Below are 27647 nucleotides of genomic sequence, written 5' to 3'. Positions count from 1 at the left end.
TACCTAAAGAACATTTTTTAATATTTCCTTAGTGCAGGTCTGCTTGTAACCAGTTCTCTCAATTTTTGTTCATCTGAAAATGTCTTTATTTTACCTTTATTCTGGATACAGAATTCTCGTTTGGTAGAGGAAAAAGTCATGTTCTTTCTTTGTAGACATTTTATTGTTTTCTGGCTTTCACTTTTTTGGCTGACAAGTCAACTGTTAAGAGCTATTTGTAGATAATCTTTTTTTTCTTTGATTGCTTTTCAGATTCCTCCCTTTGTCTTTAGTTTTCAACCATGGCAACTGTTTCTTTTTACTTATCTTGCTTGAGATTCTTGGACTTCTTAAATACTTGACCTTCCTCACTTTTGGCAAAATCTCAGCCAGTATCTCTCCAAATATCTTTTGTGCCCATTCTCATTTTTTTTCTCCTTCAGGGATTCCAAAAACACTTATATTAGACTTTCTTGTTGTCTTCTCTTTCTCATATCCTTTCATCTATATTTTCTATCACTTTGCCTGTGCTTTATTCTAGACATTTTATTCTGTCACATCATCTAGTTCACTAATTATCCCTTAATCTTTAAGACCTTAATTTCAGTCATTCTATTTTTCAATTCTAAAATTTCCACTCATTTTTTTTACAGTTTTTAATTCTTTTTCGAAATGCTCAATCTTATCTTTTAGTGCCTTGAATGCAATAAACATTGTTATTGTAAACTGTGTGCATGATAATGACAAATATCTAGATTTATCATGGGTCTATTTCTATCTTCTGCTGCTTCTACTATTTTTCCTTTGTGTTGTCTTGTCTCCTGGTCTTTGTTGTCTCAGGTTATTTTCTGAGCAAGTACCAAGCATTATTTGCAAAATTATTTGAATAATCTGAAACCCAGAATGGTAATTTTTCCTTTGAAGAAAATTTATATTTGCTACTTCCAGGTTCCTGGAAGCCCTAGCACTTTGGAGATGCCTGGGGACAGTAGCACTCTTAAGTTTAACTTAAAACTGATTTCAGGGATTTAGATGTTTGAAGCTGAGTGGTTTTTTCAAGAGGGCCTGTTCTGGTCCATCCTTACTCCTAGGGTGCAGCCTTTCAGGGTCTTTAGCCAAACTGAGGAGGCGTTCAGAGCCATCATGGACCCCTAGCCCCTTAAAGTTATCAAAAACACCACTCAACCTTTTATCCTCTCGGCTGCCTTCTTTATTTTCAGTTAATAATGGCCCCAAACCCTGGACACACCTCCCTGAACCGCTTGCCCAGCCCAGATCCCAGCCTGGTAATTGTTCACCATCCTGATAGCATTTTACTTCAAGCAAAATTTTTTTTAAATCTAACTTACCTATTTGTCCTCGGTGAGTGGACTGGCCCAAATTACCTAATCTGCCATTATCAAATATTAAAGTCTGAAATAATTCATATTTAACTGTAAACGTCCTGAGGGAAATTTACTTCTAAAGCTGATTTCTACAGCCAGTCAAACTTTCAATCAGGCCTGAAAATAGAATAAAGATTATTTTCAGATATACAAGATCTCAAAACTATGCTCTATCAAAATAGAAATGTAAACATATAAATATGGTGACAGAGAATGCAAAGAAGCACAAATAGAGGAGCACAGAAAACCTCCAGAATAATGATGAAGGGAGTTCTCATGATGACAGCTATACACCTATCCTTGAAAGCAACCTATCCACGGTGGAGAATGGCAAGCTCCAGGAGAGATGTCTTCACAGGGAAAAGAAATGAAAGAAAAGAAAATGGACAGATTAATTGCCTTGTTTAAACACAATGGCAGAAGATTTACACCTGTGTCAGAGATTTCAGAAAGAATCAATGGTAGGTATGTTTAAAAAACCAAATGAAAGTGAGACAATTAGTAATTTCCAGGAAAACAAAAAAGCAGTACAAAAAACAAGTCTGCTTATAATTACACTACCTGACTCAACTGTGAATAATATTTACCATTTAATGATGTAAATACTGAATATTAATCTAACAAAAAATTAAGATATACACTCCTGGAAGGATGAGGGGATGATAATTGTATGTAAGAGAGCAAAACCCCACATCTTTCATAGTACCAAGTCATTAAACAGCTAAAACTATAAATGAAAATACAGCAGTAAAAAAGCTTCCTTGGAAACATAGGGAAAATGCCAAAAGAAAGAGTTAAAGGCTTGAAATTACTCCTCACAGAAGTAAGAATCCTAGGTTCAGAGGGGTGGGGAAGATTACTATTTTTTCTTATGAGCCTTGTAGAATCATTTTTCTTTTTATTTACTGTGACAAGTATAAATATAAAGGTGAAGAAAAGTTTAGGAACATTAAATGCTAATAATGATGGAAGTTACTTGTCCAAGGCCATTCAGCTGAAAAGAGGCAGGGCCAGGACTCTAAATTTCTTACTCATTTCACAAAGTCAACGTGCCCTGTAGGGAGCTAGAAGATAGTAACAGCAGGAATGTCCATTAAAACCAACCCAGTGCCAACACTGTAACCAGAAACACATAAAGCCTTAACTTACAAAACAAGTTGCTTATATTAGTGATCCACCAAGTATGATTTGCAGGTGGGCTGAAGTTATTCACAGACAGCAATCCAGCACAAGAAGCCTGAGGCAGAGTGTAAATCAAGTATGTCTTGAAACACACCGTTCAGTGTAACAGACATTCTTACAACCAAAATTTTCTCAGCAAAAGATGGATATACACTGATTTTAGCTGTTAACAGTTTTAGCTGTTTAATGACTTGGTACTATGAAAGATGAGGGGTTTTGCTCTCTACAATGATTTACATTCTGGTGCAAGCTTTTAATCTCATCATGGACCTGTCATTTGATTAGCAGTGGTTTACACCCTAGGACTAAGTGCTTCTAGGTCTGTACCTTTCAAACAAGTAAGAATGACTGATGTGGTTTGGCTGTGTCCCTACCCAAATCTCATGTTGAACTGTAGTCTTCAATGTTGGAGAAGGGGCCTGGTGGGAGGTGACTGGCTCATGGGGGCAGACTTCCCCCTTGCTGTTCTTGTGATAGTGAATTCTCATGAGATCTGGTTCTTTAAAGGTATGTAGCACTTCCCCCTTTGCTCCGTCTCCTCCTCCGCCATGTGAAAATGTGCCTGCTTCCTCTTCACTTTCTGCCATGATTAAGTTTCCTGAGGCCTCACCAGCCATGCTTCCTGTACAGCCTGTGGAACTGTGAGTCAATTAAACCTCTTTTCTGCATAGCTTACCCTGTCTCAGGTAGTTCCTTATTGCAATGAGAGAATGAACTAATACAATGACAAAAACATAAAGCCCTATTTTCTAGTTCTTATTTCATATACTGCTCAAATTGGATTATGAATGTGTTATAACACATACTTGAAAGAAGTATTTTGATTCTGGAAAAATTTCGTCAACCTCCACTTCTTTTCCGAGTATGGAGAAGTCAAAAAGGCAAAGAGTGGAAATCCACAGAGAAGTCAAGGGAAGAGGATTAGTAAACTTCTAATTAACCAAGCACAATTGCTTTGCCAGGAACATCAGCAAAGGGGACCAAATGAAAAGGTGACAAAGTGCTCTGCCCAAAGAGGAAGGCAGAGTTCAGTGACAACAACCTAAAACCTCAGAAGAAGATATCAATCCCTCCATTACCCTCTAAACTGCTACCCATTAACCTGATTCGCCAGGACATTCTGTGTGCCTGGTGCCAACAATTAAAGCTGAGCACCAAAGGCCAGAAATTAGATGCACATAAGCACCCGTGTGCCTTCACCTACCCAAAATAAAAGGACATTCGTAGCACAGCAAAAGAGGCCAGAATTCAGAAATCATTACAAAAAAAAAAAATCAAAGGTGGACAAGGGGTAAACGTCCCTGAAAAGTTCTGAGGAGACATCCTCCTGAGATGGCTCTTCCCTCTTGGGGGGGTGCTGCCTGCCTTGGAAGAGTCTGCTGCTCTCCTTGAAGGAGTTAATACAGCTGTAAGAAAACTTCTACCCCAGGTGCTTTGCTGGCCTCCAGGGCCAGAACTGCAGCCAGGGTGGGACACCAGAGGCAGAGGAATCTCCACAAGAGAAGACCATGGGAGAAGTCTCCCTGCAGATACAGATGGTTGGGTTCACCTCCAGTTTCATGCTAGACAAGCCTGGGCTCCAGAAATGCAAGAAGGGAGAGTGAGTGCACTCTTCTTGCTTCCCGCCTCCCAATTTCCCACCCCTGCACCTTGAAGACAGTAAGTTGTGCCCCAAATGTGTTCACAGGTACAAGGTCTTAATAAAAAGCATCCAGTGGGAATAAAATACCAGAAAAAAGGCACATATATGGTAATTAATAGTAGAAAGGCTCAACAGTCGATTCCATGGTGGTGTTGCTGATAGGTGAACTCCGGTTCTCTCCATACCTGCTTACAGTCCATGCAGACTGGTGGATTGCAGGTGTTAGACTATGACATGCAGCAGTGCCTGCTGCTTCACTGGCTGAGATATAGACTCTAATTTTAAAAATGATAAAACATTTCACAAATTACCATTAATTCTAGTTAATACATAGAAAAAGTCATTTATAGTACGCTTCTAAAATGGAAATGACTTCAACAGCTACAGCTCTTTTAAGTGAAAATTTCTTCAGCTGAGCACTAAGAAAACAGTGGTTTGCTCCTGTGCTCAATTTCCCTCCCTAGCATACTGACAACTTTAGGAGATGCTCCATTCTGATTGTAAATTTCACAAAATGTAAAGTATTCTAAGGCAGAGAAAGGCTGTTAATTCTCTCCCTCTCCAAAACACATGATTTTTAATATTCAAAACAATATTTGTTTTCTTAATAACCTGAGACTTCTATAGTTTGATTCTAGGATAGAAACACAAGGCACTTTGTATTACTTCCACCTATAATTGCTTTGTGTATTTCTGCTGTTTAAAATGTTTAAGGTTGCTCCCTACTCATAAATACATATTAGATTTATATATACTCAAAACCTGTTGGTGGTACAGGTTGGACCATTTGTTTTCAAAATGACATTATTTAGGTATGATTGACATACAAAAAGCTGCACATATTTAATGTATCCAATTGAGTTTAACTTTTAATTTTCTGTGTATTTCCTAAATTTATAGTCCTGTGTGTCTTGGAACAGATCTGTTTTTTTACTTCTCCTGTGTTTTAATGGCAGTCTCCAATATTGTCTTATTATTACAAGTAGGGGATTTGCTTTGCTCCTTTAATGAAGATATAAAAAATAATGCACTGGAAAGAGTGGTAGAACTGGAAAATTTGTAACCATCATCATTACTTAATAGGTTTGGGAAAGAATCGTCAAAAATGTTAAAGCAAGAGAAGAAAGTTTGTTGACAAGTGATATGGTTTGGGTCTGTGTCCCTGCTCAAATCTCATGTGGAACTATAATCCCCAATGTTAGAAGTGGGGCCTAGTGGGAAGTGACTGGATCATGGGGGCAGATGTCCCCACTGGTGCTGTTCTCGTTGTAGTGAGTTTTCCTGAGATCTGGTTGTTTAGAAGTGTGTAGCACCTCCCACTTCACTCTCTCTCTCCTGCTCCACCACGTGAAGATAGGCCTGCTTTCCCTTTGCCTTCCGCCATAACTGAAAGTTTCCTGGGGCCTCCCCAGAAGCAACTATGTTTCTACAGAACTGTGAGCCAATTAAACCTCTTTCCTTTATAAATTACCCAGCCTCAGATTTCTTTATCACAATGTGAGAACAGACTAATACAAGAAGCAAAATATTTTCATGATCTCATAGTGTTGTTCCTTCCTGCCCTTCATTGGTTGTTGGTGGTCATAATTTTTCAGCACAATAATAAACACATTTGTTCCTTAAAAAAAAAAAAAGCAAGAAAGAAGTGTTGTAATACAACACAATCTCACACACAAATTCTATGGAATAGATTCCCATTACTAGATTATCTTCAGAAACCTACTTCTAGAAACTTAATCAACTTTCAGCAGCCCAATCAATGAAGTAGCAAATTAACCAGAGAGCTGCAATTCTAAATTTCTTGTATGTCCCCAGGCCAAACTTAACATCTTCATATCCTTACCATGGAATCTATCCATTTAATCCCTTAAATCTCTCTTAATTTCTCTTTGAGAGAAATTTTGATGTCAAGGGCATTAAGTAACGGCAACAATGCCCGTGGCGTCAAAACTAAGCCACAGGAATAAGTTCAAATTTAGCATTACAGTGACTAAATATTATCATAATCACACATAATTCTTTAATGAGTTTCTAACAAAATAAACAATCTATTTATCAACCAGAAAACCACTTTCATTTCAACTTGCTAAACAGAATTTTGTTTTGCCCTAGGAGAAACAAAGTGCTAGCTAAGTAGCCTACCATAAAAGGAACATTGACCCTGCCTAAATTATGATTTTTAAAAAATCAAACAAGATCACCATTCACTGTACTTTTGCATCACCTTCTGTATTTTCGCATGGTGTGTAATTTTAAAATATATTCTCAAAGTTTTAGTCAAATTTTAAATTAATTGCAATTTAGCAAACAGCATTAGCAGAAAACTTTGATACAGCCAGTGTTGCCACGCACTACTTTGACCCAAGTTGCAAATGGCCAACCAAGGAGAAATTTTCTGGGTAAGCATAATAACATTTTTAACAAGTCAAACTCTTTGTTACGAGAAACATTTCTAAACTATTCTTAATAAGTTTTCTCAACAAAATCACAATCTCAGTGTGTACCACTCACAGAAGTGTACCTGAATAAGCTGATGACAGCCTTAATGAATGGTGACCCTACTGGTAGAAAAGGTCTTCAGAGTGAGAAATGGGACCAGTGCTCCCCTATAACTCTAACTCTTCCAATCCTTCTGAGATTGACATCCATACCAAAAATTAACAGGCAACTCTCACACATAAATGCTTTCTACTTCCCTTCCAATATTCTGTGTACTTCCTCCTAATTTACCAGCTAAATTTATGAGAAGGCAACCAGCAAATATTATTAAACTTTTCCCCCAAATTACCAATATCAATGAGTGGTGGGACTGCAAGTAATTTTTATTTTCTTCTTTTCTTTCTTCTCCTCTAATTTTCAACATGGTAAACGTGTTTTGTTTTGTTTTTTTTTAAAGATTCTCTTAACTTTGTTTTAAATCTAACCAAAAGAGGCAAATTCTTTAATCTGGAACTTCTTTTGTAATACCAGCCATACAGTGAAGCCAAAAGCAATTTCCATGAAACTCAGTGAATGTTAATATAAACATGTAATATGATGAAGGTTAAACAAACAATGTGTGGTACCCTTTTACATTTTCTTAAAGAAGTTATGTATATATTATATGTAACCAAGGTAAAATGATCCTTGAAATAAATGATAACATTCTTATACATTTTCACAATGAATTTTTCTTCTAAAATAAAACAGCAGAATTATAATAAAAAACAATAAACTAACTTGGTATACAAATTCTTTCTTCAACAAATACTTAAGAAACACATTTAATATAAAAGACAAGATAAAAATGTCAAAAAGAAGAACAAATAAATTGCTTTACCTCCTTATGTGTCACATCCAACTGACTCCTAAGACTCTTAAGTTCCTGTTCACGGATTTTCAAGCAAGTTTCTAGAGCATGTGTACGTCCTTCCCATTCAGATTTTTTATGAGCCACCATTATGTCAATCTGTTTCATGAGCTCCTGTAGTTCTGCTTCACAAGATGTCAAAAATCCCCTATAAAGAAGAACAGATCATTAAAAAAACAGAAGATATGTTCAAGTGGCTTTTCATCTTTTTCATGTAAAAATATAGCAGATGTAAATCTACCTGAAGTAAATAATTAAATGACATTAATGTAAATTAATAAATTACCAGAAGCAAAGAATAGGATTGCTGAGCTTTTTTTTTTTTTTTTTTTTTTTTTGAGATGGAGTTTCATTCTTGTTGCCCAGGCTGGAGTGCAGTGGCATGATCATGGCTCACTGCAACCTCCACGTCTCGGGTTCAAGCAATTCTCCTGCCTCAGCCTCCCGAGTAGCTGGGATTACAGGCATGCGCCACCATGCCCGGCTAATTTTTATTTTTAGTAGAGATGGGGTTTTGCCATGTAGGCCAGGCTGGTTTTGAACTCCTGACCTCAGGTGATCTGGCCAGCCTCAGCCTCCCAAAGTGCTGGGATTACAGGTGTGAGCCACCGTGCCCGGCCTGAGCTTTTACTTTTAATGCTCATATTAAGATGATTACTTATTCCACAGAATATCTTATCTTCCTCTCATAGCCAACCTAAAGCCCAAGTTGTTTGGTTAAGCACAAGATTGATGTTTTAAGTCTGGTTTGTGGAGCCAGGCTGCTACAGCCAACAAGCGCCTCTGTAACATATTAAGGAAGCTTTCAGGAAGGATCCAGACAAGCCTATACATCACATTTTCATCTAGCTAAAGGAAAAAGCCTTGGAAGAAAGCAGACTATCATGCAGGAAAGTGATAATACAATTGTAAGAGCTGCTTCAAGAAATTCATCCTTCAGCCAGATTTATTTCAACTATTTCTGCCCACCTTTCTGTCAGAAACTTACTGTAGTCTACCTTACTATTGTAAACCTACTGATGTCCTGGCATTTCAGGAGATGCCAGATATTGCTGAGAAACAGAAGTGGACACAGATATATTAGATTCAAAGAGGTTTCCAGAAATGGCCACAAGACAGCTCTCAGTAAGGCTTAAATACTTTCAAAAAGCACCTGTTCTTAGTGTGACAGAACCTTTGTACTTTTGCTTCTTAAGAGTAGAAAACTCAAGATAGGATGTAGGCAAACAACTAGCTTCACACTGCTGTGATGAGGCAAACAACCCAAAAAAAGTCCCCCCAAAATGCTGTGACCATGACATGGATCAACTTAGCTTTTGCTCAACACTTTTGCTTCTGTACCCAAAGCACAATATGGTCAGAGGCACAACTCAGATAAGTTTTTTAAACTGCAGTGAGAAGCTTAAGGTTAAAAGAAAACTTACCACTGGGAGTCCACACACACCACTTAGGGACCTGAGGACAGGCCTGCTGTGCCCATCACTACTACCAGGCACATTGTCTGAGGCACTGGTGATCAGCCTAGCCCCTCCTGCCACCACTAGGTGACTTAGAATCAACCTACCGTGATCACTGCCAGCACCTATGGACATCATCCAGGGACCTTGGAGAGGCCTGCCTCACCCACTACTGCCACCACTGGTGCCTGTGCATGTCACCCACGGGCCTGGGGATTGATCTGCCCTGCCTGCTACTATCAGTGCCTGTGCATGCCATCTGGGAGCCTGAGGACAAGCCCATCCTGCCTGCCACTGGCATCACTGTCTGGTACGTGATGACCAGTCTGCCTGGTGTCCCTACCCCAGCAGAGCCTTGCTATAGCCTCCACTGACAATCACAGTCCAAGTCACTGAAAAACTCACAGAAACCACTGATACTGATTATGGCTGGAAAAATCATAGAAACTACACTCTTGCACCCACTGAGAATCAAATCAAAAGCACCCTACCCAACCAACACTATAGATACACCTATATGAAAAAAATTTTCCCTATGAAAGCCAATCCATATAATTGGAAGAAGTGACTATTATACCAGATACACAGAAATCAACACAAGGACACAAGAAAAATGAAAAAGGAAAGAAAAAGGACACCTCAAAGGAACACAATAATTCTCTGGTAACAGATCCCAAAGAAAAGGAAATGTATGAAATGCCTATAAAAGAATTCAAAATAATGTTATTAAATAAACTCAGTGAGATAGAAGAAAACACAGATAATAAAAATAAATCGGGAAAACAATTTATGTTCTGAAAGAGAAATTCAACAGAGATGGATATCATTAAAAAGAGCCAAACAGAAATCCTGAAACTGAAGAATTCAATAAATGAAATTTAAAAATGCAATTGAGTTTCAACAACAGAGTAAAAACAAGTACGAGAATTTCTGAACTTGAAGATGGACCTTTTGAAATAACCCCATGAGACAACAACAAAAACAACAAAAGAATAAAGAATAAAAAAGAAAAAAGAAAGCCTACATGGCATATGGGAGACCATAAAGTGATCAAATATCCAAATTCTTGCTATTCCAGCAAGAGAAAAGATGGCATAGGTACAGAAAACCAATTTAACAAAATAATAGCTGAAAACTTCCCAATTCTTGCAAAAGATATAGATATCCAAATAAAGGAAGCTCAAATATCCCCAAATAGATTCAACCTAAAAAGGTCTTCTCTAAGGCACATTATAGTCAAACTGTCAAAAGTCAAAGACAAAGAACTCTGAAACAGCAAGAGAAAAATGTCAGATGTTCTGTGAGTTCCTCACATATAAGGATATTGCCATCAGACTAACAGCAGATTTCTCAGCAGAAACCTTACAGACCAGGAGAGAATGGGGCGATATATTCAAAGTGTTAAAAGAAAACAAATAAAACTGGTGTCTAAGAATACTATACCCAACAGAGCCATCCTTCAAAAATGAAGGAGAAATAAAGTTTTTCCCAGACAAGCAAAAACTGAGATAATTCATCATCACTAGACCAGCCCTACAAAAAATGCATATGGGATTCCTACATCATGAGGCAAAAGGATGATATCTACTATCGTGAAAACACACAAAAAGTATAAGACTCACTCGTGGAGGAGAAACACAAATGAGAAAGAGAAAGGCATCAAACATTATCACTAAAAAAAAAAAAGAGAGAGAGACCAAATTACACAGGTAAACAATAAAGGAAGAAGAAAGGAACAAAGGATATACAAGACCACCAGAAAGCAATTAACAAAACGACAAGAGTTAAGTCCTCACCTATCTATAACAACCCTGAATGTAAATGGTTTAAATTCCCCAATTAAAAGATATAGAATGGCTGAATATCTCTATAAAAAGCAAGACCTAACTATGTGCTACCTAAAAGAAGCTCACTTCATCTGTAAAGACACGCATAAACTGAAAATGAAGAGATGGGAAACCAAAAACATGCAGGAGTAGTTATTCCTATATCACACAAAATAGACTTTAAGTCATATAAACATAAAAACTGACAAAGAAGGTCATTATATAATGAAAAGGGATCAATTCAGCAACAAGATATTACAGCTGTAAATATACATACATCCAACACCAGAGCACACAGACATATGAAGCAAATATTATTAGAGCTAAAGAGAGACAGACTCCAATACAATAATAATTGGGGACTTCGGTACCCCACTTTGAGCACTGGACAAGTGATTTAGACAGAAAATCAACAAAGAAACATCCAGTTTGTTCTACACTACAGACCAAAGAGACCTAAAGACATTTATAGAACATTTCATGTAACAGCTGCAGAATACACATTCTTTAGCACACAGAACATTCTCCAGGATAGACCATATGTTAGGCCACAAAACAAGTTTCAACAAATTTTTTAAAATCAAAATCATATCAAGTATCTTAGACCACAATGGACAAAAGCTAAAAATCAAGATTAAGAGAAACTTTGGAAACTGCACAAATACATGGAAATTAAGCAGCATGCTCCTGAATGACCACTGGGTCAGTGAAGAAATTAAAAAAGAAATGCAAAAATGTCTTGAAACAAATGAAAATGAAAATACAACATACCAAAACCTATGGGATACAGCAAAGGCAGTGCTAAGAGGAGTGTTTATAGCAATAGATGCCTACATCAAAACAGCACAAAGACAAAAAAAAAAAAAAAAAAAAGATTGAAATCACACCAAGTATCTTCTCAGACCACAGTGCAATAAAAATAAGAATACCAGGAGGAATTCTCAAAACCACAAAAATACATGGAAACTAAACAACTTGCTCTTGAATGGCTTTTGGGTAAACAAAGGCAGATATGAAAAAATTCTTTGCCATGTTAAGAGGAAAGTTTACAGCTCTAAACACCTACATTAAGATCTCAAGTTAACAACCTAAAACAATGTAATGTCACACCTAAAGGAACTAGAAAAATAAGAACTAAACCCAAAGCCAGCAGAAAAAAAGAAGTAACTAAAATCAGAGCAGAAATAAACAAAATTGAGACCAAAACAAATGAAATAAACAGTTGATAACAAGATTGATAGACTGCTAGCTAAATCACCAAAAAAAAGGAAGATCCAAATAAGTACAATCAGAAATGACAAAGGTGACATTACAACCAATCCCATAGAAGTACAAAAGATCCTCACAGACTACTATGAACATCTGTATGCACACAGGCTAGAAAATCTAGAGGAAATGGAAAAATTCCTGGAAACACACAACCTCCCAGAATTGAAACAGGGAGAAAGAGAAATCCTCGATAGATTAATAACGAGTTATAAAATTAAATCAGTAATAAAAAGCCTACCAACTAAAGAAGCCCCAGACCAGATGGATTCACAGCCAAATTCTACCAGACATATAAATAAGAGGTAGTACCACTACTGAAACTATTCCAAAACATTGAGGAGCAGGGATCCATCTCTAACTCATTCTATGAAACCAACATCACCCTGATACCAAAATCTGGCAAAGATGAAACAAAAAAAAACTACAGACCAATATCCCTAATGAACATAGATGCAAAAATCCTCAACAAAATACAAACTGAATCCAGCAGCACATCAAAAAGATAATCCATCACAATCAAGTGGGCTTTATTCCTGGGATGCAAGGATGGTTCAACATAGGCAAAAATCAATAAATGTGATTCATCACATAAACAGAATTAAAAACAAAAACCATATGATCACCTCAATAGACGCAGAAAAAGCATTCAATAAAACTTAATATCCCTTCACGTTAAAAGCCCTCAACAAACTAGGCATCGAAGGAACCGACCTCAAAATAGTAAGAGCCATCTATGACAAACCCACAGCCAATATCATACTGAATAGGCAAAAGTTAAAAGCATTCCCCTTGACACCTGGGACATGACAAGGATGTCCTCTCTTGCCACTCCTACTCAACCTAGTACTTGATGTCCTAGCCAGAGCAACCAGGCAAGAGAAAGAAATAAAAGGTATTCAAATAGGAAAAGAAAAAGTCAAATTATCTATCTTTGCTGATGATATGATTCTTTACCTAGAAAACCCTAAAGATTTACCAAAATGTTCCTAGACCTGATAAACAAGCTTCAGTAAAGTTTCAGAATACAAAATCAATGTACAAAAATCAGCAGCATTTCTATACAGCAATAACGTCCAAGCTGAGTACTGAATCAAGAACACAATCCCATTTACAATAGCCACACATAAAAAAAAATCTAAGAATACATCTAACTACAGAGGTGAAAAACCTCTACAAAAAGAATTACAAAACACTGCTGAAAGAAATCACAGATGACATAAACAAATAGAAAAACATTCCATGCTCATGGATTAGAAGAATTTATACAGTTAAAACGGCCGTCCTGCCCAAAGCAACCTATAGATTCAATACAATTCCTATCAAATTACTGTCATTCTTCACAGAATTAGAAAAAAACTATTTTAAAATTCATATGGAACCAAAAAAGAGCCCAAATAGCCAAAGCAACCCTATGCAAGAAGAACAAAGCTAGAGGCATCATATTGCCTTGCTTTACACTACAATGCTATAGTAACCAAAACAGCATGATACTGGTACAAAAATGGACACATAGACCAATGGAACAAAACAGAGAACCAGAAATAAAGCTACACGCTTACAATGAACTGATCTTCAACAAAGCTGACAAAAACAAACAATGGAGAAAGGATACTCTGTTCAATAAATGGTGCTGGGAAAACTGGCTACTTGTATGAAGAATGAAACTCAACCCCTACACTTCCTCACCATATGCAAAAATTAATTCAAGATGGATTAGATTTAAATGTAAGATCTCAAACTATAAGAATCCTAGGAGAAAAATCTAGGAAATACTCTTCTGGACACTGGCCTAGGCAGAGAATTTATGACTCAAAAAGATATGTCCTCAAAAGCAAATGCAATAAAAACAAAAATTGACAATTGGGACCTAACTAAAGAGCTTCTGCACAGAAAAAAAAACTACCGACAGAGCGAACTGACAACTTACAGAATGAGAGAACGTATTTGCAAACCATGCATCCAACAAAGGGCTAATATCCATAAACTACAAGGAACTTGAAAAATGTTCAACATCACTAATCATCAGAGAAATGCAAATCAAAACCAAAATGAGATACCACCTCATACCAGTCAGAATGGCTATTATTAAAAAGTCAAAAAATAACAGATGTTGGTGAGGCGGTGGAGAAAAGGCAACACCGTTGGTGGGAATGTAAATTAGTTCAACCCCTGTGGAAAGCAGTTTGGAGATTTCTCAAATAACTAAAAATAGAATGAGACTACCAATCGATTCAGCAATTCCATTACCAGGTATATACTCGAAGGAAAATAAATAATTCTACCAAAAAGACACATGCGCTCACATGTTCATCGCAACACCAATCACAATAGCAGACATGAAACCAACCTATGTACCCATTGATGGTGGACTGGATAAAGAAAATGTAGTACATATACACCATGGAATACTACACAGCCATAAAAGAAAAACAAAATGTTCTTTGCAGCAATGTGGATGCAGCTGCAGGCTATTATCCTAAGCAAATTAACACAGAAGCAGAGAACCAAATACTGCATGTTTTCATTTGCAAGTGGAAGCTAAACATTGAGTACACACAGACATCAAGATGGGAATAATAAGCCAGGCATGGTGGCTCACACCTGTAATCCCAGCACTTTGGGAGGCTGAGGCGGGGGGATCACTTGAGATCAGGAGTTCGAGACCAGCCTGGCCAACATGGCGAAATCCCATCTCTACCAAAAATACAAAAAAATTAGCTGGGCATGGTGGTGTGTGCCTGTAATCCCAGCTACTTGCAAGGCTGAGACAGGAGACTCACTTGAACCCAGAAGACAGAGGTTGCAGTGAGCCAAGATCATGCTACTGCACTCCAGCCTGGGCAACAGAGCGAGACTCCATCTCAAAAAAAAAAAAAAAAAAAAAGATGAAGATGGGAACAACAGACACTGGAGACTCCAAAAGAAGGCAAGGGCAGAGGGTGGGCAAAGGCTGAAAAACTATCTATTGTGTACTATGTTCATTCTTTGGATGATAGGATACATACAAGCCCAAGCTTCAGCATCACACAATACACCCATTTAACAAACCAGCACATGTACCCCTGAATCTAAAAAATAAAAACAGTACAAAGACTTCAAATAAACAACCTAACGATGCACTTCGAGTAGCAAAGCAAGAACAAACAAAACCCAATTAGCAGAAGGAAAAAAATAACAAAGATCAGATCAGAAATAAACAAAATAGAGACTAAAAAACAATACAAAGAATCAATGAAACAAAAAGTTGGTTTTTTAAAAAGACAAAATCGATAAACCATTAGCTAGACTAACCAAGAAAAAAGAGAAGACCCAAATAAATAAAATCAGAAACAGAAAAGGCAATATTACAACTGATAACCACAGAAATACAAAGGGTCATTAGAGATTATTACAAACAACTATATGCTAACAAATAGGAACACCTAGAGGAAATAAATTCCTACCAAGATTGAACTCGGAAGAATTAGAAAACCTGAAAAGACCAATAATGAGTAACATGACTGAACCAGGAATAAAAAGTCTCCCAAGAGAGAAAAGCCCAGGACCTGATGGCATTACTGCTGAATTCTACCAACTTCATAAAGAAGAACATCAATTCTTCTCAAAGTATTCCAAAAAAATTGAAGGCGAGAAAAATTTTCCTAACTCATTCTACAAGGCCACCTTTACTCTGATGACAAAAGCAGACAAGGACACAACAAAAGAAGACAACTACATGCCAATATCCCTGATGAACACAGATGCAAAAATCTTCAACAAAATACTAGCCAACCAAATCCAACAACAGAACAGAAAGATAATACAGCATGATCAAGTGGGATTTATCCCAGGTATGCAACATATACAAATCAATAAAAGTGATACATCACATCAACAGAATGAAAGACAAAAACCATATGATCATCTCAACAGATACAGAAAAAGCACTTGATAAAATTCAACATCTCTCCATGATAAAAACTCTCAAGCATAGAAGGAACATACCTCAACATAATAAAGGCCATATAAGACAGCTCCCCAGGTATCATTATACTGGATGGGGAAAAGCTGAAAGCCCTTCCTCTAAGAACCTGAACACAACAAGGATGCCCACTTCCACCACTCCCATTCAACACATAACTGAAAGTCCTAGTCAGAGCAATCAGGCAAGAAAAAGAAATAGAGGCATCCAAATTGGAAAGGAGGAAGTCAAATTGTTGCTCTTTGTGTACAACATAATCTGACATACAGAAAAACCTAAAGACTCCACCAAAAAAGTCTTAGAACTGATAAAGAAATTCAGTAAAGTTGCAGAATACAAAATCAACATACAAAAATCAGTAATGTTTCTATACACCAATAATGAACTAGCTGAAAGAGAAATCAAAAAAGCAATCCCATTTACAATAGCTACCAGAAAAAAAAAATACCTAGGATTAAATTTAACCAAGGACATAAAAGACCTCTACAAAGAAAACTATGAAACACTAATGAAGGAAATTGAAGATACAAATGAAAAGACATTCATGCCCATGGGTCAGAAGAATTAATATATTCAAATGATTATATCCAAATCTATCCACAGATTCAATGCAATCTCTATCAAAATACCTATGACATGCTTCACAGAAATAGAAAAAATAATACTAAAATTCACACCGAACCATAAAAGGCCCTGAATAGCCAAAGGAATCTTGATCAAAAGGAACAAAACTGGAGGTATCACACTACCTGACTTCAAAATATACTACCAAGCTATAATAACCAAAATAGCATGGTATTAGTATAAAAGCAGAAACATACACCAACGGAACAGAATAGACAACCCAGAAATTGTATTTACAGCCCACTGATTTTCAACAAAGGTGCCAATAACATACAATGGGAAAAGGACGCCCTATTCAATAAATGGTGCTGGAAAAAATTGATATTCACATGCAGAAAAATGAAACTAGACCCCTATCTCTCACCATATTAAAAAAAAAATCAACTCAAAATGGACTAAAGACTTAAATGTAAGACCCAAAACTATAAAACTACTAGAAGAAAACATAGGGATTGGGTACAGTGGCTGATGCCTGTGATCCCAACTACTCAGGAGGCTGAGGCAGGAGGATCACTTGAGGCCAGGAGTTCAAGAACTGCTTGAGCAACACAATGAGATCTCATCTCTTAAAAAAAAAACCTTCTTAAATTAGCCAGATGACATGCCTATGGTCCCAGATACTTGGGACACTGAAGCAGGCGGATCACTTGAACCCAGGAGTTTGAGGCTACAGTGAGCTACGACTGTGCTGCTGTACTCCAGCCTGCACAACAGAATGAGACACCCGTCTCTAAAAAAACAAAAAGAAAATATAGAGGAAATGCTTCAGTACACTGGTCAAGGCAAAGATTTTATGGTTAAGACTTCAAAAGCACAGGCAACCAAAACAAAAACCGACAATTGGGACCTAGTTAAACTAAAAAGTTTTTGCACGGCAAAGGAAACAATAGAGTCAAAGACAACTTGTAGAATGGGAGAAAATATTTGCAAACTATTCATTCAACAAGGGACTAAACATCCAGAATATACAAGAAAAACAACTCAACAGCAAAAAAACAAAAAACCCTATTAAAATGTGGGCAAAGGATTTGAATAGACATTTCTCTAAAGAAGACATACAAATGGCCAAAAGGTGTATGAAAAAATGGTCGACACCACTAAATCACCAGGAAAATGCAAGTGAAAACCACAATGATTCATCTCACCCCAGTTAGAATGATTATCAAAAAGACAAAATATAACAAATGCTGGGGGGGATGTGGACAAAAGGGAACTCTCATATGCTGTTGGTGAGAATGTAAAATTAGTACAGCCATTATGGAAAACTAAATGGAGTTTTCTAAAAAACTAAAAATAGAACTACCATATTGTATATAGCACCCTTAACATAAGTAACTCCATTTTAGAAAGAGATTGCATCTCACATTTCAAAAGACATCATGCCCACAGGGACCCGATGTTCACCTTATCAATAAAGACTGCACTCAATCAGATAATGACATAAACAGGCACAATATTTCACTATCAGTTATCACCAGAAGATTCTGTGGCCACAAAAAGAGCAAGACTTTACCAGCTCAAAACAGCTGTCTTGATAACAGCCTGTCTGGCTGTCACTTGTGATCAGCACCTGGCATCTGTCACCAAAGGCTCCTCCTTGCAAGAATGTTGACAACCGTCCAGATCAGGCCAGAATATTCTCTTTGTCCAGTTGTTCTCTTTGGACTAGTTCTTTAGCCCCCCCCCCCTTTTTTTTCTATCCTTTTCTCCTGTTAAATGTTACTTTGTTTGATGTGGAATGTTTACACTGCAACATTTACATATATTAATACACTATTATGTATGGTTTGCAATACTGACTGACTTGTGGAGAGGCTTGAGCCTGTATGCCCATGGCTCTGACTATTGAGTGAACTGGTAGTACTAGGGGGAAATGCCTCCTTGGGAACTCCATGTAGCTTGTGGCTTTTATGACTGAAATAGCATCAATAAAAGTTTGCTCTTGTAGAAAAGACACAAACATGTATGGACCTGGTTATGTCTGACTTTGCACCACTCACAACACATATGATTCAGAAAGCACACTATTGGGTAATCTATCCAAAGGAAAGGAAATCAGTATGTGAAAGGGATACTTGTACCCCCATGTTTATTGCAGCATTATTCACAATAACCAAGATATGGAATTGACTTGAGTGTCCAACAGCAGATTAATGGATAAAGAAAATGTCAGAAATATATCCATCATGGAATACTATTCAGCCATAAAAAAGAATGAAGCCCTGTTATTTGCAGCAACATGGATAAAACTGGTGGTCGTTAAGTGAAATAATAGGCACAGAAAGACAAATATCTCATGTTCTCATTCATATGTGGGGTCTAAAAAAGTTCACCTCATGGAGGTAGAGAGTAGAACGATGGTTACCAGAGGCTGGGAAGGGGTTGGGGGTGAAGAATGTTTGGTTAATGGGTACAAACCATACAGTTAGGTAGAAGAGTAAGCTCTAGTGTTAAATAGCACAGTAAGGTGACTACTAAGTAACTAGTATGTAACTAGTTAAGTAATTAGCACAGTCGGGTGACTAGCACAGTAAGGTTCCTTAAACTTTAAAAATTTACTATATATTTCAAAGTAGCTAGAAGAATTGAAATGTTCCCAACACAAAAAATGATAAATGCTTGAGCTGATAGGTATACTAAATACCCTTATTTGATCATTACACATTATATGTATGTATCAAAGTATCATGTGAACCCTATAAATATGTAATCATGTATTAACCAAAAAAATTAATTTTAAAAAAAGCAAACTTACCCACCATGCCCTCGATTTTGTATTCCTTCTAACAAAGCCTCCATCACCAAATCCCCTTTGTTTTGGCAACTGACAAAGAAAAAAATATCAGTCATGAGACAATTCATTTCTTCAGTTCTAACATTCTAACTTACAACTTAAGAATGTGAATGAAAGCATACATAATAATGAAAAAATGCAGCACTTCTTAAGATGACTGTAGAAGCAGTCAAAGAACATCACTTCAGGAATACTAGGAACAAACTATTTCGGACTAAAACAGAATAACTTAAAAATATCTGAATTGCGGTTGACACTCTCTCCGTGTAAATATCAAATATCTCATTGTTCTTTGCCTAATTCCTAATGTCGGGTGAGCAGGGGTGGAGGTGGGATCTCTCTAGCAGACGGATACACAAACTCCCTTAACAAAATGAGAAAGAAATGGGTTCACACATGTCAGAGGGAAAGTATAGCTTTTTAAAAATTAAAGAGATAGTATAAAAAATGCGAAGTGTACTGAGATTAAACTCTTTGGTCTATCATGGGAAAGCCTACTCACTCCTGAAGACAGGCTCATAGAGCTTCCTGCATGCAACATCCTCTCTCCACCGAAAGGCAGCCACAGGGCCCTCCCACCTCTGCACTTCATTTGCTCCCAGTGCTTAATACGTTCTTTCATAGGAGTTGCACCACACTGGAAGTGAGTTTTTTACATACTATTTTTCCTTACTAGACTATTCATCCCTCCAGGGCAGAAACCCAATTTTATTCATCTCTGCAGCTGCAGAGCTCAACGCAGCATTTCAACATGGCACGTGGCAGATTATTTTGGCTGAACTTAACTCCCCTCCCTCTTTTACCTACCCTCTCCCCCATGCAAACTGGTCACAGCTGGGGAACTACATGAAGGGTCTAGCAGAGAAAGAGGGAACGGGAGATAGAAGACTGCCATATAAACAGCAAGATACAGTTGGGTGCGGTGGCTCACGCCTGTAATCCTAGAACTTGGGAGGCCGAGGGAGGCGGATCACCTGAGGTCAGGAGTTTGAGACCAGCCTGGCCAACATGGTAAAACTCCGCCTCTACCAAAAAAAAAAAAAATTAGCTGGGCATGGTGGCATGCACCTGTAGTTCCAGCCATGGGGAGGCTGAGGTAGGAAAATCGCTTGAAGTCGGGAGGCGGAGGTTGCAGTGATCCGAGATCACACCATTGCACTACAGCCTGGGTGGCAGACAGAGATTCCATCTCAAATAAATAAATAAATAAATAAATAAATAAATAAATAAATATAAAATAAAGGGTAAGATACACCATGAAGAAAGGTGACAGTGAGAAAGGAAAGAGGACCCTTAAACTCAGTAGTGTTGATTAATATGTGTATGCTTCTCGCCTTTTATAATAAATCTTCAAAATGTTCAATGTCAAACCACTTTTCATTCCAAAATGCTTTTTCCTTAAACCCTTAAGACAATAACCAGACTGTGGTGTAGAGGTTCTGCCCCTGGGCTAATCCTCATCTAAAAATTATACTGCTGTAAGAAGTAGATTATTTTACTCAACACGTAATTCAATGTTGTACTAACAACTAGATATATAGTGATGAAAGATATGGCCCCTTTCAAGGTATTAATAGTCTAGTATGGGACAGAAAAAAATGAGCCAAAAAGGCTTTCCCAGTGTGATAAATATAGTGAGAGACATGCCCAGGGTGTTCCAGAGACACAGAGGAGAATGAGAAGACTGGAAAATAGAACCACTGCACCTTATTTGCATCTATTTTTAAAGATACTAACAAACTGAGTATTAAATTATTTGTGCACAAACGTGACAGGGAGGATTTTTTTTCTAGTTGGTTTATCCTACATATTACACCAAAATTGCAAAAATAAAAACCTAAAGAAAAAGGTTCCCATGTTTTACTCCACTTTCAAATCACAATACAGTCCAACTACAATGCAACCAAGATTCCATGTTTTGGTCCACTCTAGGAGAACTGGGAGGCAGTACACGGTCCACACCACACTAGATGGAGACCCAGGATACAGTCCTACTCTGCAACTAACTAGCTTTATATTCTCGGACTTGTTTTAACATCTGCAAAATGAGGGGCATGAACAATATTCTCTAAGGTTTCTTCCAGCTTTTTCATGGGTTCTAACAGCCAATTAAATGTCCACTGTAAGTAGCATGCTCCTGACAACCATACACGGATACTTAACTAACATGTAGGAAAGTGCTATTCTTATTGACAGTGCTATCACAGTTATTCAAAATTATCATTAGTAAAATTATACTTATTTAGGTCATGTTATTCTTAAACATTAATATATTTAGTAATATACATTAATATATTTTCTATGACTATTTAATAATATACTTAGAAGTTAAGTTACTGAATGTTCAACAGCTGCCTTGTACACATTGTCTAAATCAATCTTCACTATACTCATAAAAGACAGATACTATTACTTTGAGAAAACAGGCTTAGAGAGTTAAATAACTTGACTATGATAAACTAAAAATTATAGTCCTGGATTCAACCTAGACATTGTGGCAATCAATTGAGTCACAATCGATGTGCAACCTTTATATATTTTACAGTATTCTATATCTTAAAATATATCAGCCTATCTTTTGGCTTAATAGTGTCTTTGCAATAAAAAAAGAAATTAAACTGAAGTATGACATCACTACTGTGGCCACCAGGTGGCAGCAGCACAATAATGAAATAGTCACATAAGAAATATTGCTATTTTAGAAATCAAAATGGTCTAAGATAGAGATTCCTGTTTAAAAAAAAAAAAAAAAAGGAGGGAAGTGGACCAGTAATATCCTATGTGAGAAATAAAGTAAACTTACTAATGTGCAAAGTGTTTCTGTAATACCTTCACCATCTGCCTGGTGCCAAACACCATCAATTCTCAGGATCAGGCAAATAGTAAGGGCTGATTTTCTGTGGATGTTTGTCATCTGAGTTGCTCATAGTTATATCACTGATTCTTTTCCTAACCAACCTGACCATCATTCAACTCTATGCACTATGTCACTTTGATTTCTTCTTTGCATGTGCCATATAATTACATAAAATTAGACCATCCTGGCTAACACGGTGAAACCCCGTCTCTACTAAAAATACAAAAATTAGCCGGGCATGGTGGCGCGCGCCTGTAGTCCCAGCTACACGGGAGGCTGAGGCAGGAGAATGGCGTGAACCCGGGAGGCGGAGCTTGCAGTGAGTCAAGATCGCGCCACTGCACTCCAGCCTGGGCGACAGAGCAAAACTCCGTCTCAAAAAAAAAAAAAAAAAAAAAGAATACAAATAGAATGTCTTATAATAGGCAAATCTTTGAAATTCATTAACATAGACTTTATGAGCTAGAAAGCACTTCAGGCCTCTAATTTAACTTTATCATTTTACAGATCAGGAAAAATATCATAGTATATGCCCAAGACCAAATTATTCACAAAATGGGACACAGGAAGAAAATAAAAACTCCAGACAGAATTATGAATAAATGTGTACATACTAAGAGAAGGGATATGCCTAACCTTCAAGTCTAAAGGAGGATAACAATGCTCTCTGTCCCTGTACCTGCCTTGGTGTCGTTTTCATTACAAAGCTCTATGATTGTGTCAGATATACCATGGCCAGTAAACTATGGCTGTTCCGATGAACAATCAGTATTACTAAGCATTTTCCAGAAAGGCTCCTAATTAAACTGATACCAGTAAATAAGGTATTAGAGAAACTTTTCAAAATATTAAAGTTTTTAAAAAATTGTCCAAACTATAGTTCAAAATCCAGGAAGAACAATGAGAAAGTCTGAGAAATAGGAGTACATAAAAACAAACTTTTATATGAAAAAGTGCCATAAGCAAAGTTAACTGACAAATGACAACAGTACCTGAAAGTTTTACCACAAACGGTTAATTACCCAAATATATAAGGAGCTTATAAAAGATTAGGCAAAAAATCTATAGAAACATGGGCGAGAGGTATAAACAAGCAATGCACAGAAAAATACAAATGACAGTAAAAATATGAAAAGATGTTCAACCTTGCTCATAAGAGAAATACAAATTAAAACTACAGTAAGTTACCCTTTCTTCTGTACCAGATTAACCAAAAATTAAATGTTTGATAATACACTCTGATGACAAGGCTGTGGGACAACAGGCACTCATATACATAATAGGTAGGAATGCAAAATGAACACAACTGCTATAGAGGAGACTTTGGTAATACCTAACAACTGATATATGCATTTACCCTTTTATCCAACAACGCTACTTTTAAGAATCTATCCCACAGGCTCATTGGCAAAAATGCAAAACAACATATCCACAGGGATATTCACTGCATGACTATTTGTAATAGCAGAAAATAACACAAGTGTCTATCAAGAGGGGACGAATTAAATATTCATCCACCAATGGAGTACTACGAAACTGTAAAAAGGAATAACAATCTCTACATACTCCTAAGGAGGGGATCTACAGGACATATATCACTAGGTGAAAAACCCAAGATGGAAAACAGTATACATAATAGCACATTTTACCTAAGAAAGAAAGGTATGTTTGTCCATGTAGATTTGCTTTTAGGTATGTGTTTTTTTAATGGAAGGATAGACTCAAAACTAGTAAAAACAGTATCAGTAAGGAAGGAAAATAAGCAGAGTGGAAGAAACAGAGATGAAAGCTAAATTGTTTTATGGGTACTTGTTTTATGGGAATTATGCTAAGGTTTTGCATATAATAAAACAAATCAAAATGGGGAAAAAAGCAGTACTGAAAAATTGGAAACAAAATAAAATAAATCAACTACCAACTAGATATCAACTTGATAGGCTAACTATACAATAAATTACTTCATATGCCTTTAAATACAATAATTTTACTATACACTTTCCTAGAGACATATAAAATAAGGATAAAAGACAGTTGCAAAGAAATCCTAAGCACTATTCAGGAATCATATTGATAATAAAATAGCCTGTTAACTTGAAACCATTATATATAACATAGGATGAGGAAAAAAAACTAATTCTATTAATGGCACTAGGCACCAAGACTCAGCAAAAAAGATACAAACATAAATCCAACGTGTGAAAAAACTGTAAAATTAAGTTTAAATTTTGGAAATTTAAATGTTAAATGTTGGAAACAATGCGAATTTTGCATATTTGTGTTTTTTTTAATATATAATATTTCCTAACTCTGGCCACCATAAATCCTAGAACTAACGACTAACCTAGTAGCAAGAACACCTCTCCCACCTAGGTAAGACTGTGGTCTCCAAATACTATCTCAGACTCAAAAGAACCACGGCTCCTTGAAGACCAGAAATCTATAAATGAGCCAGGAAAATTATTTACCAGAAAGCAAGGAAATTACCAAAGCTATTGGTCATATCAAATGGAATAGGAGCCAACTTTAAGGAGCTCCCACTGGCCAAAGATGAAACAATTTGAGTATTAAAAACACAACTGCCATATGTTGAAACAGTTTAAATATAAAGTCTATAAGTTCATGATTATAGGTTTACAAAAAGGCAAAAACCCTCATGGTTACCTTTGGAGGCTGCTAGGCCACCAACTCATTACTGTGGTCTGAAAATAGAGGCAAAGAATTAAGCATTTTTCTTGCCTTTCCTGTACAAATTGTATTTCAGGGTAGTCAAACAGCTGGAAAGGGAAAGTTCTTCATAAAAGACTCTCAGTTGATAAATATTGAAGAAATAATAGAATTAGATAATCACCACGTTGCAACCTCTAATGCAATAACGGATACAGGCAATATAACCCCACAAAAGGACTTCACCACTAAGTGAAAGAGTCTTGGGGAATTTCACTATGGGTGGATGGAGCTAACTACACCTAAACCCAATATAATGTTTAATGTTAACATCATAAAAAAAGAAAACAACTCAGACACTGCTTCCCTGATAATTAATGAAATAGGAAGTATACTGCATTACCTATGAAATTATCTGTCCAACCCCCCCAACTATCCCACCAAAAAACAAAACAAAAACAAATATAAGGGTGAAATCTCATCAGGCTTCTAGAGCAGTGCTGTTCAATACAACTTTCTGCAATTATGAAAATATTTTATAACTGCACTGTTCAAAAAGCAGCCACCAGGCAATCTGTAGCTACCGAGCACTTGAAATGTGGCTAATGCAAGTTAGGAACTGAATTTTTTTTTTTTTTTTTTTTTTGAGACAGTCTCGCTCCGTCACCCAGGCTGGAGTGCAGTGGCGTGATCTCGGCTCACTGCAACCTCCACCTCCCGGGTTCAAGCGATTCTCCTTCTCCTGCCTCAGCTTCCTTAGTAGCTGAGATTACAGGCGCATGCCACCACGCCCGGCTAATTTTTCATTTTTAGTAGAGACGGGGTTTCACCATGTTGGTCAGGCTGGTCTCGAACTCCTGACCTCGTGATCCACCCACCTCAGCCTCCCAAAGTGCTGGGATTACAGGCGTGAGCCACCGCGCCCAGCCTAGGAACTGAATTTTTAATTTTATTTCACTTTAATTAACTAGCCACTGCTGGCTGGTGGCTACAATACCGGACAGTGCAATTCTACATCTAACTACTGGTTTAGAGCAGTGGTCCCCAACCTTTTTGGCACCAGGGACCTGTTTCATGGAAGACAATTTCTCAACACCGACAGGGCGGAAATAACACATTTTGTAAATATCTTTTTGTTAAAATTCATATGAAATGTTTTGGGGGAGGAATGGCCAAACCACTTTTTTTTGTTTTTTGAGACCGAGTCTTGCACTCTTGCCTGGTCTGGAGAGCAATGGTGTGATCTCGGCTCACTGCAACCTCCGCCTCCCGGATTCACGTGATTCTCCTGCCTCAGCCTCCCGAGTAGCTGGGATTACAGGCGCACACCACCACACTCGGCTAATTTTATTGCATTTTCAGTAGAGACGGGGTTTCACTATGTTGGCCACACTGGTCTCAAACTCCTGACCTCATGCCCACCTCGGCCTCCCAAAGTGCTGGGATTACAGGCGTGAGTCACCGCGCCCGGCCAACCACTTCTTCAGTAATATGAATAATACACATGGACAGGGTTAGGGGCATGGTTTCAGGATGAAACTATTCCACCTCAGATCATCAGGCATTAGTCAGATTCTTATAAGTGTGCAACCTAGATTCCTTGCATGCGCAGTTTACAATAGGGTTCGTGCCCCTAGGAGAATCTAACCTCACGGCTGATCTGACAGGAGGCAGAGCTCAGGTGGTAGGTAATGCTCACTAGCCTGTCACTCACCTCCTGCTCTGTAGCCTGGTTCCTAACAGGCCACGGACTGGTACTGCTCTGCGGCCCCGGGTTTGGGGGCCCCTGGTTTAGAGGACACAAAGGCAACAGAGATACATGTTAAAGGATACTGTGCGATGCAATCTGCTAAATTTAGAACTGTAAGGAAAAATAGGGGCTAATCCCATAGCTATAACTATGAGGGAACAAATATAGATTAAAAGATGTCAAATGTGCATCACCCAAACACAATAGGCAGATCCCTGTGGGATTTTGGTTCAAACAAGCTAATTGTAAAAAGACATTTAAGAGACAGTTGAAGAAATCGTTATCTGACTGGATATTGACATTAGAGAATTTTTATTAATTTGTGTATGTGTAATGACAGTACTGTGGCTCTGTAAAACTGAAAAACCTAGCTCCTGATGGGGGCGGGGAGGCGGACTAAAATAACATAAAGATCGGAGATTCAGTTCCTGAAACCTTCTGTCAATGTTGGCTTTAGCTGAATTTCAAGTCAAGTTGACATTTTTTGAAAGCAGGAAGCAATGACAGAGTGGACTACTGATGCTGTCACCATCTGCCAGCACAACATAAATTAGAACAGAAAGGACTAAGCAAAGGTCTTCCACCATTTTAACGAGAGGAAATGGCATCAGTACAATCAACATACACAATTTTTACAAACAACTTTTAGATTTGCATCTACATACATTTTAAAAGGCAGTGTGCCTGTTTATAAATCTCTACTCTAATTTAGTTTCAGAGCTTTTTACTACCCTGATCACTGATAATGCCACAGTCAAAAAGCAAACTCAAAATAAAAATCAATCTAAAAATGGTACTGCATGCCAAATAAGAAAATATATACACTTTATCATTAAGCTACAGCTAACAGAAATCTAATCAACGATCCTTATGATTTCCTCGTATCTAAAAAATAAATGCAAGCACTT

At 37.4% G+C, this 27647-nt stretch overlaps 1 protein-coding gene and 1 pseudogene across 61 annotated transcripts in view, besides 1 other annotated feature; one reads left to right on the top strand and one right to left on the bottom strand.

Moving 5' to 3' along the window:
• The window catches only part of CEP63 (centrosomal protein 63), a 296836-nt gene that overhangs the window by 267766 nt on the left and 1423 nt on the right, over positions 1-27647 (bottom strand). For 36 of the 61 annotated variants that reach the window (NR_148355.1, XR_007095732.1, XR_002959589.2 and 33 more), the window contains 2 exon segments: positions 7508-7685; positions 19430-19498. Coding sequence is in view for 48 of the 61 variants with exons in the window: in XM_024453768.2 (XP_024309536.1) it covers positions 7508-7685; positions 19430-19498 (247 nt within the window). In the remaining 13 variants the exon portion in view is untranslated. 61 annotated transcript variants of the gene reach the window in all.
• Positions 3097-3156: an enhancer, noted in NCBI's record as "active region_20565". NCBI's record gives its function as "activates an Ori minimal core promoter by ATAC-STARR-seq in GM12878 lymphoblastoid cells {active_cell/tissue: GM12878}" and the evidence as "EXISTENCE:reporter gene assay evidence [ECO:0000049][PMID:35858748]".
• On the top strand, positions 3370-4465 carry DPPA4P2 (DPPA4 pseudogene 2; annotated as a pseudogene).

This window comes from Homo sapiens, chromosome 3 (genome assembly GCF_000001405.40).
Source record: "Homo sapiens chromosome 3, GRCh38.p14 Primary Assembly".
In the NCBI taxonomy this organism is placed as follows: domain Eukaryota; kingdom Metazoa; phylum Chordata; class Mammalia; order Primates; family Hominidae; genus Homo; species Homo sapiens.
This window is presented reverse-complemented; position numbering and strand designations above follow the sequence as displayed.